This window comes from Homo sapiens, chromosome 2, assembly GCF_000001405.40.
Source record: "Homo sapiens chromosome 2, GRCh38.p14 Primary Assembly".
NCBI lineage: Eukaryota > Metazoa > Chordata > Mammalia > Primates > Hominidae > Homo > Homo sapiens.
The window spans coordinates 130,493,743-130,512,298 of record NC_000002.12 but is presented as its reverse complement, the minus strand read 5'-3'; the positions used below and the strand labels follow the sequence as shown (position 1 = coordinate 130,512,298).

The following is an 18,556-nucleotide window of genomic DNA, read 5'->3' as shown; positions in this document are numbered from 1 at the left end:
AAGCTGAGGGCCCGTTGCAGGGCAGCAGAGTGATAGGTAAATAGGGGGAGCATATTCATTCATTCTCTCAACAATTAAATATTAAATACGTCTGTGCTACCAGGGATACAAAGGTAAACAAAGCAGGAAAAAAAGTTCTGCCTTTATGGCCAGTACATTCTGGTAGGAGAAGAAAGAAAATAAACAACATAAGTAAATAGTATATTAGAGGAAGAAAAATGCTATGGAGAGTAAAAAAATGAGGGCATAAAGGGACATTTGGAGTGTTTCACAGAGAAAGTGACACTCTGGCAAGACCTCCTCTGCTGAGGGAGCCAGGATGCCTGCAAAGAGTGCGCTGGGCCCAGGAAGGAGCAGGGAGTGCTGGCCCCTGCTGTAGGCCTCGCAGGCCTGCTCTCTGGTGGAGCCAGGGAGGCGCGATCTGACTTTTGAGCCTGTGTGGAGCATGAACCGCAGGGCGCAGGGTGGAGGCGGCTGCGAGGGGACCCGGAGCCTAGGTCAGGGCGGTGGAGGCTGGAAGCTTGCAAGAGTCGCAGGGATTAATGCTGGGTTGGATCTGGGTGTGAGAGAAAGAGCACACGGGGAGGACTCGGGGTTTTCCGTCCTGAGGAGCCATGAACTGAAACGGAGACTGTTTTGTTTGGAGCTGACTGTGAAGGAAGGGCGAGAGGTGGTGTCTATGAGCATCAAGTGGAAAAACGGAGGAGACGCTCCTAGCGAGGGAGAGGCCTGGGCGGGGCGCGATGAGCAGGCAGGTGGCATTTGGAGCTGCGGGAATAAATGCAACCCCAGGGAGCAGGTGTGGACAGAAAACAGAAGAGCGGCCTTGGGCAGCCAGGAGTCCCGAAATGTGCGCGGAGGAGGGGCCTTGGAGCGGGAGAGGAGTGGTCCAGGAAGCCACGTGCAGGGGGTGCTGAGGAGCAGCAGGGAGGGAGGCCCCCTGTCTTACAGCTGGGGGCTGCACTTCTCCATAGGCCATTGCTGCCGGCAGGAGCAGGTTCAGGGTAGTGCAGAGGTGGAGAGCTGAACTGGAGTAGCTCACATAGCGAGAGGGAGGAGGGGTGTTCAAGGTAAGACGAGACCACGCTTTGGAGCCATTTTGCTCTACAGGGGAACAGAGAAATGGGATGCAGCTGGAGAGCGAAGCATGAAGAGGATGTTTTAAAGATGGGCCAGGAAAAAGCACGTTTGTCCAACTGACTAGAGAGGAAGAAGTGGGTGATTCAGGAGTGAGGTGGAAGGCAGAGGTGTCCTTAAGAGGTCTAGTCCGCCAGGGCAGGGGTGTGGCCATCCTTCTGCAGTAATGCAGGGAAGACACGTTGCCGTGAGGGGGCAGCCTGCAGATCTATTTTATTTATTTATTTATTTATTTATTTATTTATTTATTTATTTATTTATGAGATGGACTTTTGCTCTTGTTGCCCAGGCTGGAGTGCAATGGCAGTATCTTGGCTCACCGCAACCTCCGCCTCTCGGGATCAAGCGATTCTCCTGCCTCAGCCTCCCAAGTAGCTGGGATTACAGGCGTGCACCACCACGCCTGGCTAATTTTGTATTTTTAGTAGAGACAAGGTTTCTCCATGTTGGTCAGGCTGGTCTCGAACTCCCGACCTCAGGTGATCCACCTGCCTCGGTCTCCCAAAGTGCTGGGATTACAGGCATGAGCCACTGCACCCAGCCAGCCTGCAGATTTATTTTAATGAGAAAATCAAAGCAAAAGCAGGGGCATAAGTGGAGCATATGGATGGGACAGAGAACGTTGGAGGCTTTAGCAGAGAGAGGAAAGGGCAGGAAGGAGTCATCCACAGGAGGGGAGAGTACTGTCCTGTGACTGCTCCTCCAAGCCCCCTCTTGCCGGCGTGGACACAGCGGTCTGCACCTTGACCCTATTGCATGCCAGTGGAGCAGAGCCCCCCAGGCCAGAAGCCCTATAGCTGTTGGCCCTGGCTTGGACACCGGGCAGGGGGCACCGGGGCAGGAGCTGGCCGCGATCCTGTGGCCCCAAATGCCCCCTCGCTGATGGCCTCGTGTTCTGGGTGCAGAGCAAAGAGGACCAGGTGTCAAAGGCACCTCAGGCAGGCGCTGGGCTCAGTGGGCATCTTGTGCTCCGGGATTTTGAGGCCATTTGCAGCCAGCTCCTCCAGCCCCAGCTCCGAGCTGCAGACGCTGCCACGCACAACAGCACCGCCAGGAGTGTCCTGGGGGCTTTCTTCAGAGGAGGCTGTCAGCATCCTCAAGTTCCAGCCGCTTAGCCCCAGTCCTGCTTCAAGAGGCTTTTTTTTCACCAGAGGCTTCTCAATGGCCTGAAAGCTCAGCTGAGTCCCATGAAGTTTGCCAGGAACATAAGGCTGTCGGTGACATTCGTGGCGCCAAGATTTAAACACGCGGTTGCACGCATTGGCCACTGTCTGTGCCACATGCACTGACGCCACCTGAGATGCACACGCTGCACGCCGCACGCGCACGCCGCACGCGCACGCGGCAGCGGCTTGGCTGGCTTGTAATGGCTTGCACGCGCACGCCACACGCGCATAGCGGTTTGGCTGGCCTGTAACGGCTTGCACGCGCACGCCGCACGCGCGTAATGGCTTGGCTGGCCTGTAACGGCTTGCACGCGCATGCTGCACGCGGGTAACTGCTTGGCTGGCCTGTAGCGGCTTGGCTTGGCTTTGCGTTCTTTGCTTGGCTTGGTGTTGGTCGCTTGGCCTGGTGTTCCTCCTTGGATTGACGTTTCCTCCTTGGATTGGCGTTTCCTCTCTCGCGTTCCCTTGCTAGGCTTGACCTTTTCTCTGCTGGGTTTGGCATTCCCTTGGGTGGGCTGGGTGTTTTCTTGGGGGGGGGGGTTGGCCCTTCCTCGGGTGGGCGTGGGCTTTCCCCGGGTGGGTGTGGGTTTTCCCTGGGTGGGGTGGGTTGGGCTTACCTGCTGGGGTTGGCAGGTTTTGGCTGGGATTGACTTTTCTCTTCAAACAGATTGGAAACCCGGAGTTACCTGCTAGTTGGTGAAACTGGTTGGTAGACGTGATCTGCTCGCTACTACCGGCCTCCCCAGGCTGTTAAAAGCAGATGGTAGCTGAGGTTGATTCAATGCCGGCTGCCTCTTCTGTGAAGAAGCCATTTGTTCTCAGGAGCAAGATGGGCAAGTGGTGCCGCCACTGCTTCCCCTGCTGCAGGGGGAGCGGCAAGAGCAACGTGGGCACTTCTGGAGACCAGGACGACTCCACTATGAAGACACTCAGGAGCAAGATGGGCAAGTGGTGCTGCCACTGCTTCCCCTGCTGCAGGGGGAGTGGCAAGAGCAACGTGGGCACTTCTGGAGACCACGACGACTCCGCTATGAAGACGCTCAGGAGCAAGATGGGCAAGTGGTGCTGCCACTGCTTCCCCTGCTGCAGGGGGAGCGGCAAGAGCAACGTGGGTGCTTGGGGAGACTACGACGACAGCGCCTTCGTGGAGCCGAGATACCACGTCCGTCGAGAAGATCTGGACAAGCTCCACAGAGCTGCCTGGTGGGGTAAAGTCGCCAGAAAGGATCTGATCGTCATGCTCAGGGACACTGACGTGAACAAGCAGGACAAGCAAAAGAGGTAACCAGGCCTGGGCTGGGAGGAGGTGGGAGGTCGGGGGATGATGGGGACATACCCTCCTGGCGGGGGAGGAGGGGGACCTGGCTTTCTCACCTCCGCAGGCCTCACAGCACCCTGGTTGTGGAAACCTCAGAGAGGTCAGGGCACAGGCCCCTTTATGAACAGCAACACACACAAAAAAAACTTTAGCTGATTTCCAATCAAATTATAATTTCCCTCGTAGAACACTAATAGACTGTTTTAAAGTGATTTAACTTGCAAAATTAATTAAGTCAATGCAGCAGATTATTTTTAATCTACAGATTTTAAAACAATGTTCTATACATTATAGAAAAGTGTATATTGAGAACTAAGAATGAAGCCCCATAACACATCAACTTCAGGGCTAAATATTCTTCAAATAAAATCCAGTATGGATTTTATATCAATGTACCCTATGTAAATACGTTCTTTACTGAGGAACCTTAGAAGGAAACTGAAATGGGAAGATGGTTCCTGTGCTTGAATAGGAAGATTGAATTTTCTTAAGATGTGAGCTTTTTGGCTGGGCGCGGTGGCTCATGCCTGTAATCCCAGCACTTTGGGGAGGCGGGCGGATCACGAGGTCAGGAGATCGAGACCATCCTGGCTAACACGGTGAAACCCTGTCTCTACTAAAAATTATAAAAAAAATTAGCCGGGCACGGTGGCAGGTGCCTGTAGTCCCAGCTACTCAGGAGGCTGAGGCAGGAGAATGGCGTGAACTCGGGAGGCGGAGCTTGCAGTGAGCCAAGATAGTGCCACCGCACTCCAGCCTGGGAGACAGAGCGAGATTCCGTCTCAAAAAAAAAAAAAAAAAAAAAGATGTGAGCTTTTTCTATTTATCACTTTTACATAAGCCAAATAAAAATAGCAAAGTTTTAGCGTTTTTAAATTACACATGCTGTCTTTTATTATTGTGATAAATTAATTTTTTGTAACAGAATGGAAAAAGGCTTGCTTTTCCAGATATCAAAATGTGCATGTGTTATTTATTTCCACAAATTGTTTACTAACAGCTGAAAAGACATCAATGAATAGAACAGAATAGGAAATTTAGAAATACCCAAATATATGTAAGAATTTAGCACTTGATAATGGTGATGTTTTGTATTATTTAAAAAAGATGGATTGTTCATAATTCATTTTTGGAGAAAACTAGCTAGATTTTTATGTCACAAAAATAAGAGTATAGATTAAAAATTTTAAACATACAAAAGGAGAAACATACCAGAAAAAATATAAATGCCTATTTATATACGCAGATATATATATATATACATATATATACACATATATACATATATATACATATGTATATATACATATATATGTGTGTGTATATATATACATATATATGTGTGTGTGTGTGTGTGTGTATATATATATATATATATATATATATATATATATATATATATATCCTTTTTTTTTTGGTGGAGTCTCACTCTGTAGCCCAAGCTGGAGTGCAGTGGTGTGATCTCGGCTCACTGCAACCTCTGCCTCCTAGGTTCAAGCAATTCTCTGCTTCAGCCTACTGAGTAGCTGGGATTACAGGCGCCTGCCACCATGCCTGGCTAATTGTTTTGTATTTTTACTAGAGATGGGGTTTCACCATCTTGGCCAGGCAGGTCTTGAACTCCTGTCCTCGTGATCCACCCACCTTGGCCTCCCCAAGTGCTGGGGTTACAGGCGTGAGCCACCGTGCCTGGTGTATATATGCAGACATAATAAAATAAGCTCATTTTAAAATTGGGCAAAGTACTTTTTTTGCATATCTACCAGTGACCTATGCACATAGGAAAATACAGTGTTCCTGGTAGAAGAAGGAATTTAAGTTAGAAGAGGAATGAAATACTGCTTTCTATTTAAGTTAGAAGAGGAATGAAAGGCCGGGTGCAGTGGCTTACGCCTGTTATCCCAGCACTTTAGGAGGCTGAGGCGGTGGATCATGAAGTCAGGAGTTTGAGACCAGCCTGGCCAGTGTGGTGAAATCCCATCTCTACTAAAAATACAAAAAATTAGCTGGGCATGGTGGCACGCACCTGTAATCCCAGCTACTCAGGAGGCTGAAGCAAGAGAATTGCTTGAACCAGGGAGGTGGAGGTTGCAGTGAGCCGAGATCGCGCCACTACATTCCAGCCTGGGTGATAGAGTGAGACTCCATCTCAAAAAAAAAAGAAAAAAAAAAAAAAAGGAATGAAATACTGTTTTCCATCCACAAAGTTTGTGAGGATGAAGAACAGTGGTACTTATGTAGTTGTTTAAAGTTTAAGTTGCTGCAGCTTTTCAAACAGACACTTTAGTGGTAAGAACTACATTTTAAAAATGTGTATGCTTTTTACTTATCAATTCCATTATACTGAAATATCTTTACGAAATAGATGTGTTTTTCTTAGTATTGCTTAAAATAGCAGTGTATTTAGAAGAACCCATATAAAGATTTTATGAACAAATTTCAGTGCATCCATAGGATGGAATAATATGTAACTATTGAGGGTGTCAGTAGATACAGAGATATGTCGACGTGCAAAGATGTACTTTGCTATATCAAGTGAGAAAAAAATCAGTTTGTTACACATATACACGAACAGAATCTGCTCGTGTTAGCTGCAAATCTGTAGAAAATATAATCAAACTTGTTTCTGGGGATTTGTAAGTGAAGTTTTTCCCTTTCTCTTATCTGTGATTTCTGCAATGAACATCTGAAGTTGTAGTTAAGGTTCATTACTAATGCAATAATCCTTGGGAAGAGAAGGAATATGCTTCTTGCATAGATGCAAATAATTCCTCACATTCTATTATTTATTTTTATTTCTGTGGTTGGCTATTTTCTGTGAACTTTTACCCTCTTCAGAAGAAGAGGGGTCGTGTTTACCTGTTCCTGTAGATTTTATTATATATACATTTTATTCCATAATTATCTTTTCATTATATATAGATTAACATGTAAAAAGTATGAATTAATCATTTTAGTTGAGTTATATATTTATGAAAATTAAAATAGCAAATATAAATGATTATTGCTATTGCAAATGTATTGCGCTACTCTATAGGAGTTTTCTTTAAAAATATTGAACTCCCAAGCTGTGTTCATCCATTTTTCCTATCCATTTAGTCATCAGACATAAGCCAGACACCTATTATGTGGCAGGCATATTCTACTATCTCTCAGGATCCTTCCGTCTTTGAAAACTACATGTTTTCCTGCTGGGCTTGAGCAAGCTGAGAGATTTAAAATTGGGGCATTAGGACTTAATCTCAATTGAAGCTTTTCCTCCCTCCTTTCAAACAAAAGCATTTCTGGAGGTAGAAAATAGTAATAGATAACCTTTAACTGCCCTTTTGAAAATTTATGTCTTGGGGAAAAGACTGTTTTAGTTGTTTTAAGAACTAAAATGTGGTACATAAACAGCATGGAATAATATGCAGCCATAAAAGAAGGAACGAGAGCATGTCCTTTGCAGGGACATGGATGGTGTTGAAAGCCATTATCCTTAGCAAACTAACATAGGAAGAGAAAACCAAATACAGCACGTTCTCAATTACAGGTGGGAGCTAAATGATGAGAACACACAGATACCTAGAGGGAAGGAACACACACTGGGGCCTATCAGAGGGTGGAGGGTGGGAAGAGGGAAAGAAGCAGGAAATAGAATGAACAGGTACTGGGCTTAACACCTGGGTAATGAAATAATCTGTACAACCAACACCCTTGGTGCACATTTACCTATGTAACAAACCTGCACATCCAGCACATGTATCCCTGAATGTAAAAGTTGAAAAAAGCTCCACAAATAGTTTCATAAATCCATTTTAAAACAAGAAAATTTATAACAGTCTTAAATCCTAATATGAATGATTGGAAATATCTGATGTACATACATTGTATAAATCTAAGTGTTGACAAAAATGAGCCCATGCTATTCATTTGAATTCCAAGTTTTCTTTGACTTAAAGTTTATTGAAAACCAAAGTAAGAATTGGTTTATTTTAGAAATTTGTTTTTGTTTTCACCTCTGCTCTCTTATTCCATAGTTCTTTTAGGAACTAAAATTTATCTAAATGCTGGTCATCTGACTGGAACCGCCCCAGACCTGTTGTAACATATTCTACTTAATGTAAGACACCAGGGATTGTATGATGCCCCATTATTTTATGCCTCAATAAGAGAATTATTTAAATGCCGCAAATTATAGTAAATCATGAATTGTAAGTGGTATTTCAGTGGAGACAACATGGAGACAATGATCATCTCAGAATCACTAAAATACAATGTTAGCTGTAATATTTAAAACACACCTGAAAGTGCAGGTATAATTGTATCATCTCAATTCAAATGTTGTCTTTAGTGGTATTAGTAAAAATTAAAATATCTAACAATTATTGAGCTGTTATTTGTGTTAGGAACTATTCTATATCTTTTGTGCAGAGTCTCATTTAAGCATTACAGTGGTTTCCCGTAAGAAAGCTACTATTTTCATTCCTATTTTATTGATGAGGAAACTGAGACCCCAAAAGGCTAAGCAACAGCCAGGAAGTGACAGAGCTTCAAGTAGGATTCCAGCTCAAGTTGAATGTCATCCAAGGGCTATGCTCTTTGTATTCATATAGGATGCTCTTTCATTAATACAGCGAGTAAAGAGAGATAATAAATAGTGTGCTTTTTTCATGGGAAAGTTAAATGTTTGTTTTGAAGGCAGAGTAATAGCAGGCTATTCAGTGTTTGCAATTACATGAATCATTGCTATGGCTGTAGCTAGTGCACTACAATTTCCTAAAAAGTCTTGTCACTCTCATAGGACTGCTCTACATCTGGCCTCTGCCAATGGGAATTCAGGAGTAGTAAAACTCCTGCTGGACAGACGATGTCAACTTAATGTCCTTGACAACAAAAAGAGGACAGCTCTGACAAAGGTATGCAGTAGCCAACTATATCAGCATGAGGTGGGTTTGATTTCAATACATAGCATAAAAATGAGTTTTCTCCTTTAAATATAACTTAGGTGGTGAAAGCTGTGGAATGTTATTTTGAATTCCTAGGATTTGTAATTTGTTTTTGGTCTAATACTGACAGGCCGTACAATGCCAGGAAGATGAATGTGCGTTAATGTTGCTGGAACATGGCACTGATCCAAACATTCCAGATGAGTATGGAAATACCACTCTACACTACGCTATCTACAATGAAGATAAATTAATGGCCAAAGCACTGCTCTTATACGGTGCTGATATCGAATCAAAAAACAAGGTATAGATCTACCAATTTTATCTTCAAATACTGAAATGCATTCATTTTAACATTGACCTGTGTAAGGGCCAGTCTTCCATATTTGGAAGCTCAAGCATAACCTGAATGAAAATATTTTGAAATGACCTAATTATCTAAGACTTCATTTTAAATATTGTTACTTTCAAAGAAGCATTAGAGGGTACAGTTTTTTTTTTAATGCGCTTGTGGTAAATAATTTTTTTGAAAGCACTGAATTTGTAGAAGGTAATACTTACTATTTTTCAATTTTTCCCTCCTAGGATTTTTTTCCCCTAATGAATGTAAAATGGCAAAATTTGCCCTGAAATAGGTTTTACATGAAAACTCCAAGAAAACTTAAATATGTTTCAATGAATAGAGATCCTGCCCCTTTGGCAAGTTCCTAAGAAACAGTAATAGATACGAAGGTGATGCGCCTGTCAGTGGCAAGGCTTAAGATATTTCTGATTGCTCATGAGGCAGAAGTGGAAAGCGGAAAAGAGAGCAATCAGAAATATCAAGGCCAATTTGGAAATTAGGTAATAGAGGGAAAAGACCATGAAGAGGTTGTGTGTGTGTGTGTGTTGTCGTTGTTGATTGATTTGTTCCCTTTGTATGTTGAGACAAGGTTCTCTTCAATTTTAGAGAATGACAGTTTTCAGTTTGGGAGAGGGAGTTAGTGGGTTGTAAACTGAATAGAGATCAATTTTAGGAGGCCTCTGAGGAACCAGATTGGCAGTGAATAGGTGGTAATGTAAGGGGAAACCCTTGAGCAGAGGGAATATCAAGTAATTAACTGACTTAGTATCCTATTCTGGTAGAAATGGCCAATTAGAGTCTCAGCTCTGCTTTCAAATCTAGAGTGTCTGGATGGGAAGGTGGAAGATAAATAAGTAACAAGATCAAGTTGGATTTTGAGTTGACTAGACCCTGTTCTTCTCTTACCGGGGAAAATCATGTGGTGTTTTCAGCAAATGGGTCTCTCTCCTACTCCTTACTCTTTTTGGCCAAATCTTCAAATGAGAAAGGGAACTGGTCATATGGGTGAGAAATGAGACTGAAGTAATTGTCTGTTGCACTAGCTTTCAGCTAGAATTGTGCATCCCAGTAACCTGAGGAAAATGTTTAAATAATCAACAAGTCTAGGCTTTTTCTGAATATTTTGATACAGTAAGTCTAATAAAGCCTGGATATGTATATTTGAAAATGTTTCCTTGAAGCCAGGCATGGTGGTGCATGGCTGTAGTCCCAGCTGCTAGGGAGGCTGAGGTGGGAGGATTGCTTGAGCTCAGGAGTTCGAGTCTAGCCTGGTCAACATAATGAGACCCTGTCTCTAACAACAACAACAACAACAACGACGACGACAACAACAACAATTTTCTCAAAATCTGGATACACTCCTGCTTAAGAACCACTCAATACATAAATGTAATATGTAAATTCTTATGTCTCAGAAACTTAAGGTATCTCTAGAAGAGTTGGGGTTGGATATGTGCTGATTTCTTTAAATCTTTCCAATAACATTAATCTGACTTTTTTTTTTTTTTTTTTTTTTTTTGAGATGGGGTCTCACTCTGTTTCCCAGGCTGGAATGCAGTGGTGTGATCACAGCTCACTGCAGCCTCGACCTCTCCAAGCTCAGATGGTCCTCCAACCTCAGTTTTTTTTATTTTATTTTATTTTTTTTATTTTTTTTTATTTTTCAGTAGAGATGAGGTTTTTGCCATGTTTCTCAGGCTGGTCTTGAACTCCTGGGCTCAAGCGATTCACCCACCTCAGCCTCCCCAAATGCTAGGATTACAGGTGTGAGCCACCATTCCTGACCTAGTCTGACTTTTATCTCTGTGGTTGAGACCTTAAAATGAATATTATTGGTAGTATGTATCAGCTTACAGAATAATACCTTTTCCTTTCTACCATCAGTTATTCACTGCCATTCAGAAGGTCTTTAGAAATTTGCTGTGAGTATGGCCCTCTCAGGATTTTGTGTCTCTTTGTTCAGTCATTCAAGTACTTAGGTCAGTAAGTCGTTAAGAGCAGAGTTTTCTCAATTAGAATTGTAGCAAATTCTAAACCATTTTTTGTCAATTGACGCTGTATTATGGACTATCCAGTGTGTCTCTTAAGTATGTAGAGCTTTGGCATAATCAGCATGGCAGTTTTAAACACTAAAAACCATGGAGTTATTAAGAATACAGATAGGAATTCTGTTAATTTAGTTTCAGTAGTCCTATGAACTGATGGTTTAGTTAACAATCTGGGAAAATTAAATACAAATAGATTTTAAATAAATAAATGTTGGAAAATTTTTTCAAATGGGCAGTATGAGTTTTAACAGCAATTTTTGTTGCATGTTGGAGGTTGAACTTTTGGTAAAACATGAAACTAAAGAAATATTTTACATGCAGATTCTTGCTTTATACACAATTTGTCTTAGGGTTGAGGATATAGAGACAAAAGATACAGCCCCTGCCCTCAAGAAGCTTTTTGTTTAGATGGGAAAAATATTATCATCCAATAACACCATGCCAAATGCTGGTTTAGAAGCAAAGAGCCTTGGAAGCAGTAAATGTTTAAAGTGAGTTTTTGAGATGATTAGAGGTACTGTGGTGAGGCAGAGAAGGGGTGTTTCCAAGGGAAGGAGCAGCGTGTGGGAAAGCACAGAAGAGTGAGAAGGAAGCGACTACATTTTATTTACTTCTATGCGTGTAAGTCCATAAGATCTTATATAAAGTTTCCACTTCGGTTGAGGAATATGTACTTTTTTGAATTACATAGGTTTTTGCTTTATATTGTTTTACAGCATGGCCTCACACCACTGCTACTTGGTGTACATGAGCAAAAACAGCAAGTGGTGAAATTTTTAATCAAGAAAAAAGCGAATTTAAATGCGCTGGATAGATATGGAAGGTATAGTTCTTTCTTTTAATCTGTGTTCTAGATGGATAGCAGTCACTCAAGTCATAAATATTAAATTAATAAGATTAATGTATACTTACTGGGATGTAGTGATCAGTATCAACACAAATCAGTTAGGTAGAAAAACAATTACTTGGACTGGGCAACATAAAGAACAGTTTTAGTAGGATTCGTCTTCTCATTATATTGACTGATGTTATTTGTTATGTGACGTTTTTGGTTACATGATCTTATGTTAGCTAAAGGCATTTCATATTAATTTTATGAAGTTTGAACTTTAACTTTTAGTTTACTTTATGACTCAGTATTGAACTTCTTAACCCTTTCTAATAGTTTTTAACCTCTGTGTCTTACATGCTTTTCCACTAAATATACTGTATTAAACATAAATAGGGGTTGAAAATCCTTTTGTCTTTTCAATGACTCTGCTTTAAGTTGCTTTCTTTGAAGAATATTAATGTTAGCTTATCGCTACATGACAATTAATTGCTGTTCCCACATACTGTGGGTTCAACAGCTTTTTTCCTTTTTTATTTCCAGTGTATTTTGGTGTTTTTAGTTTTAATTGGTATGGAGAGAGGGAGTGAAGATAGTTTTAAGTGGATACACTTTTCCTTTAATGAAGGCAAGATGTAGGTGGGTGATAAAGAGAAAAGAGCTAGGCTTTGGATTCACACAAGACTGGGTTAATTCCTAACTTTCTTACTTGCTAGGTGTGTGACCTTGGGGATGTTATTTACCACCAAATGTGTTGTCATGTATGAAAAGTAGGAGAATATATCCTTAAAAGTTGGCTGTGCATAAGTAAGAAAGATAAATGTAGGATTTAATTCAGTGCCTAGCACATGGTTATTGGCACCATTAACTGAAACTCCTATGACTACTATTCTTACCATTGTTAATATTACTGCTTTGAGCATGCAGAGAGCTCTTATTTCTCTTACCCCCTAGCTGATTTTCTATTACAGCATATCTGTCTAGGGAAGCTGTGACAAACTCTTCACTTAAATCTTTGTCCACTTCAGATAAGTGGCCCTAACATTGTTTCTTGCCCATCAAAGGATGTTAAATTAGTAGCTTCTGCTATGCAATACCCCACTGAGATAAGAGGGTTTTTTTTGGTCCCTTCCTTTTAACTTTTGTGGTATTTTACAAAGATGAACACTTGAGCACTCAAGATGCTTATGTCTTTTAGTGCATGTAAATGTTTGATTCTGCACAGACAGGCAAGATGTTACATTGGTAAAGTATATCAAATTAGCTTTAAAAATAACTTTATTACAGTTCCTATCTCTGTCATTTTAGAACTGCTCTCATACTTGCTGTATGTTGTGGATCAGCAAGTATAGTCAGCCTTCTACTTGAGCAAAATATTGATGTATCTTCTCAAGATCTATCTGGACAGACGGCCAGAGAGTATGCTGTTTCTAGTCATCATCATGTGTAAGTGTTCACATTAAAAGGCTAGTTAATGCTGAATTGAGGTTTAAAATAATTATAACAGTTGCATCTGACATATCAGGTGAGATGTCATAGTTTGGTTCAGGTAGTTTTCGCGTGGCAGTGAGTTAGTCCCCTGCATCAGCCAGAAATCAGACAAAAAGCAAGACAAGTTAGAAGTACCAATGGGTGCGGGATTCTTTATCTCAGGACTTTTAAGATCTTTATCCTTAGAGATCCCAGCATTGTTCATTTGATCCAAGTGTAACACCTATGCATGGGATAAAAAATAGTGTCACATCTTTAATTTTTCTGATTAGTTATTTGGGTCTTGAAATGTCCAGTTTAGCGGAAAGTCTTGTACTGTCTTCTGGGCACTATGTCCTACATACTCCTTGAATTTTTCAAGAACCGAAGGGGTTTACTAAATCCAAGGAAGACAGTCCCTTTTATCAAGTCAGAAGGAGGAGGAAAAAAGACATTGCAATCATTCTGTTGTTTCCGTTGATTCTGTTGCTGCTTTGTGGCCACTCAAACTGGTCCTGCTGCCTTAAGATGAATCAGTAGATTCAGATCCCTCAAGTCTTCATGGCGATTCATACAGTGACTTTGATGTTTTTTAATTCCCATACCTATGCTTATATGCTCAGCCATTGTTCCCAGAGCACCAGCCCCCTGCTCTGGCCGCTGGGCATCTTGACTTTATCCGCACACAAAGTGACCAAATTGACCCTTCCCCACATATTCAGAACCTAATGTGGAACCCACATCTTAGCCAGGAATTAGCTGAGACCTTCATGGTAAGAGATCCTTTGAGGCTGTTGTTGGTCTTTTCTCTAGCAGATATTAGGTGGGCTTGTTCTAAAGGGTGAGAGGGGTTCAAATAATGTGGCAGAAAGAGATCAGTGTTTGTTTCTTCTTCTTTGCTACCAGATCTGTACTGTGAGGCACCTTTATATCCTGTATAGAACCTTGGGCAGTAGAAAGTCCCATATGAACCTTCCCCTGAGCAGTGGCTCCCAGCTGTGGTTGGCCCCTTGAGTGATCTGATTTACATGATAATGAAAATCGTGGAAGCTACTTCCATCTCTAGCTCAAGATTTTAAAATATTTTCAAACTCTAGCTCACAGGAAGCCATTGAAGAGAATTCTCAGAATCTCAAGTAGGTTAGTTGGACTTCACAGAGCCAAGCCTTGTCCATGACGCATCACTAATCATGTGTAAAAGTAGGGCTTTGTGCTTGCTTCGGCGGCACATATCCTAAAATTGGAACAATACGGGGAAAGTTAGCGTGGCTTCTGCATAAGGAGGCAGCACAGATCTTTGAAGCATTCCATATTTTGTGCAGTCACTGGAAGGTCATTTGACTATTTGCTGACTAGCTCTGAGGAAATAGTGTGAATCAAAGCAAAATGGGTGCCACCCAAATATTGAAATTGTGATTTCTGCTGCAAAAATAGTCATGTAAGATGGTCTATGAGATGACTTAGACCTGAATAACATGTTCGGTGCAAAATATATTGTTAGTATGTATGTCGAAAATTACAGAATGTCAGCTTGCTACTTCTCCGTGGAAACTAAAATAAATAAAAGTAGACTTTTGGTCTCCCATGTCAGCTGGAATTGAACATCAATATAAAGCATTATCCTAACAGACATCTACTGGCTGAGAGTTTGAGTCTGTAGAGAAGGATCGTTGGTCCAAGTCAGGTCTTAACATCCATTGGTTTTTCTGCCCTTGGTGTGATTGATCAACTCCGTAATAGTGGACAATCACATTATCTACTTTAATGAGATATTTATGAATAAATTTAGTTATAAACTATGACATAGTTGAGATGCCCTGAATTATAAGCCATAAAGAGTAGGACAACTAAGAAGCAAAATTAGGACTTAATAACATTTTCTGAAAACTACAACATTTGCATATTAGAACCTATGAACAAAATACGCATTGGGTTTTATTTGGGATTCCAAGATAATTTTAGTCATAAAGTTTAGGAACAGATTATTCCATTGCTTTACTATTTCTCTGAGCATTTAAAAAATGTTATCTCGTTAAATCTTTATAACAACCTAGTGAAATAAGGCAGCAAAGTCCTCACTTTGTTGAAGAAGACATTGAGCCTAAGAGAAGCAAGTTGCCCAAGAACAAATAGCTGTTCATTATGGAGCTAGGACTTATGCAGAGTTGGGACACTTTCTATTATGTCATGCTAATGCTAGCTAATTTACTGGGTCACAGTGCCCTTGATTTATGAGTATTTCACCTTACATTTTTTTCGTCTTTAATTAGAAGCTTAAAGAGAAGTTTGTAGAATGTACTCATAAGTGGATGGGATAATACTATTAAGTTCTGATATTCTGATATTGTTTGAAATACTCTTAATAATTCTACATTTGGTAAGTTTTTTTATATCAGTATTAAAATAGTAATTTGGTTTATTACATTTTTATACATAGAATTTGCCAGTTACTTTCTGACTACAAAGAAAAACAGATGCTAAAAATCTCTTCTGAAAACAGCAATCCAGGTAAGACTTGTGATAGTGAATTACTTTAGTCAGTTGTCCCCAACCTTTTTGACACCAGGGACCGGTTTTGTGGAAGACAATTTTTCCATGGGCTGGGGGAAGGTGGGGATGGTTTCAGGATTATTCAATCATGTTACATTTATTGTGCTACTTTATATTATTATCACATTGTAATATATAATGAAATAATTACACAACTTACCATAATGTAGAATCCGTGGAAGCTCTGAACTCATTTTTCTGCAACTGGATGGTCTCATCTGGGGGCAAAGTGAGACAGTGACAGATCATCAGGCATTAGATTCTCATACGAAGCACACAACCTAGATCCCTCAGATGGGCAGTTCACAACAGGTTCATGCTCCAATGAGTATCTAATGCTATCACTGATCTGACTGGAGGCAGAGTACAGGCGGTAATATGAGCCATAAGGAGTGGCTGTAAATACAGATGAAGCTTCCCTGGCTTGCCTGCTGCTCACCTCCTCCTGTGTGGTGTGGTTCATAATAGTCCATGGACTGGTATGAGTGTGTGGCCTGGGAGTTGAGGACCCCTGCTCTGCGTGGTCCTACCATAGATAAAAAAGTAAAAGTAAGGAATTTTTGATCACAAAAGAACACTGAAGCACAAGTCATGTTACATATGCTTGTCCCAATAAGGTCTCACTATTATTGACTTCATTCCTCCTCATTTGAAGTTGGAAAGAGATATATTTACTTTGTTGGAACAAGATGTGTTCTTCTACCTGCTGGTTAATTGTCATCATAACAGTAATTTTGTTAGAACAAGATGCTCTGCTACCATTTGCCAAAAGATTGTCATAATAAATATACAAATTGCCCAACTCTAGGCTCAGCAGATTATAATAAAAGCAGAAAAACGTTTCACACTAACAAAAATGCTAGTATGCTACCTGGTTGTGGACACCTAATACATTATATAGTCCAAACTGTATGAGGACACCTTTAATTTAGCCATCTATTTATCAAAGAGCTTTTGTAAGTTAGGTTTTATAAGTCGCAGGAGACAAAGATGGAATAGATGTAGTTTTGATCTTTAAGGTGCTCATAATAGAGCTGTCTCCATTTCATTTCTGTGCTTTTTCAACAGAATTTACAAAGAAAACATTGCTATTTATGTTTTCACTTGTCCACTTAACATATAACTATCAAATGTCTTTTAGATGGTAACCATTTTTCTAATGCTATAGACCACAGACAATTAAAAATACAGACAGGAGCTTTTTCTTATCATTGCCATTTTCATTATTTTACTACTTTATTCAGTGCTTACTGTGTGCTAGATGCCCACTGGAAGCTTATAATTATGATTTATTATATATTGATTATGTGCCAGACATATGAGGAATGAAAGTTTTGGGAAAAAGTAGGTATGATTTAAGGTAAGCATGCAGAGAGAGAAGAATTTTTCTAGGTAAAGAAGCAGAAGAAGAATGTTTGGCAGAAGGAACATGCAGCGAGGTCGTGTGTTTGCCAGAAGGAACATCTAATGAGATTGCCTGTTTGGGAGGAAGAGCAGCAAGTGCAAAAGACAAGATGCTTGAGTGAACATGGCAGGGTTTCTGAGCAGTTCACTTTTGCTAGTACCAAAAGTGTGAGATACCAGAGGTTGGGAACGAGGTGAATACTTAGCTAAGGCAAGTTTATGATATACTTTTTAATACTATAGAGATGAGTAGGTCTTATCCTGTGTGCCATGGGAAATTTACCGGGTAGAATGCTTTGGACTGCAAATACTAGATGAACAGTGGCTAAAACAGTAAGAACCAGAGTTGTTTTGGTTGTTCATTGATATCCTAGGATCCCACTTTTCCCTCTTTCAGCTGTGCTGTTGGCAGTGTTTTATTCACGTCTCCTTTCATGGTTGGCTAATCCGCAGCAGCTCCAAACATCTTGTTCTCACAACACAACATCGCAAGGGCTGCTTTTCTTCACATGTGTCTTTTAAACAGGGAGAAAACTTAGAAGCATGCAAGGGGCTTCCTGTAACATTTCATTGGCTGGGTCACACCACATGCTCATTCCCAAACCAGGCACTGGGAAGGTAAATACCTGATTAGCTTAGAATAAACATTTCTGTTTCTGAGGCTGAGGAGGGGGATTGGGATAATAAATATCCCAATAGACTTGGATTTCTTCTTCAAGAAAGAATAAGGAATGGCTACTGATAGGGAGCCAACAATGTGTGCTGCAGGGGCTCATTGGAGAAATTTGAGCAGGGGAGTCACAAGATTAAATTTGAGTATTAAGGCATTCTGGTTATGGTGTAAAACGGGTTAGCAAGCTTTTTCTGTAAATGGCCAGGTGGGCAATATTTTAGACTATGTGGTCTCTGTCATATCTACTTAACCCTGCTGTTGTCTGCTGTTGTAGTGTGAAAGCCACCATGATTATATGTAAGCAAACAGGCATGACTGAGCTCCTATAAAACTTTATTTACAAAACCATAATGCAGATTGGATTTGGCCTGTGGCCTATAGTTTGCTGGGATTGATGGAAGGTTCTTTACCATGTAAAGAAACCAGGAGACAAAGGAAGTTTTTGCAGTAGTCAGCTATAGTTTCCTTGTCATACATCCTTGGAGTAGCATCAATGTATTACAAGGTTTTCACCCGTCCTTAGTGAAATACATAAAGTTAGGAATCTCAACTACTTGTTTTAATATGTTGGCCTTTGTTTTTTTGGTGATATGCTTTTTTCATTTGTTTTGCTTAATTTTTTTTCATGTAAGAAATAACATTAATAGTTGGCAGGCTTTTTTTTTAAATAAAAGCCATTTTGTAAATGTT

General features: G+C 40.8%; 1 protein-coding gene and 1 pseudogene across 6 annotated transcripts in view; both read left to right on the top strand.

The window, feature by feature from the left end:
* Positions 1 to 2,591: 2,591 nt before the first annotated feature.
* The window catches only part of POTEI (POTE ankyrin domain family member I), a 50,253-nt gene continuing 34,288 nt past the window's right edge, over positions 2,592 to 18,556 (top strand). For 2 of the 6 annotated variants that reach the window (XM_024453046.2, NM_001371926.1), the window contains exons 1-7: positions 2,592 to 2,631; positions 2,971 to 3,584; positions 8,405 to 8,519; positions 8,680 to 8,853; positions 11,657 to 11,763; positions 13,078 to 13,215; positions 15,677 to 15,747. In XM_024453046.2, the coding sequence (XP_024308814.1) occupies positions 3,064 to 3,584; positions 8,405 to 8,519; positions 8,680 to 8,853; positions 11,657 to 11,763; positions 13,078 to 13,215; positions 15,677 to 15,747 (1,126 nt within the window). In that variant the 5' untranslated portion in view covers positions 2,592 to 2,631; positions 2,971 to 3,063. Of the gene's footprint in view, positions 2,632 to 2,970; positions 3,585 to 8,404; positions 8,550 to 8,679; positions 8,854 to 11,656; positions 11,764 to 13,077; positions 13,216 to 15,676; positions 15,748 to 18,556 lie in introns of those variants that run through there. The other 4 variants (XM_017004732.3, NM_001277406.2, XM_017004733.2 and 1 more) reach the window with 4 other exon arrangements.
* Positions 14,450 to 14,556, top strand: RNU6-473P (RNA, U6 small nuclear 473, pseudogene; annotated as a pseudogene).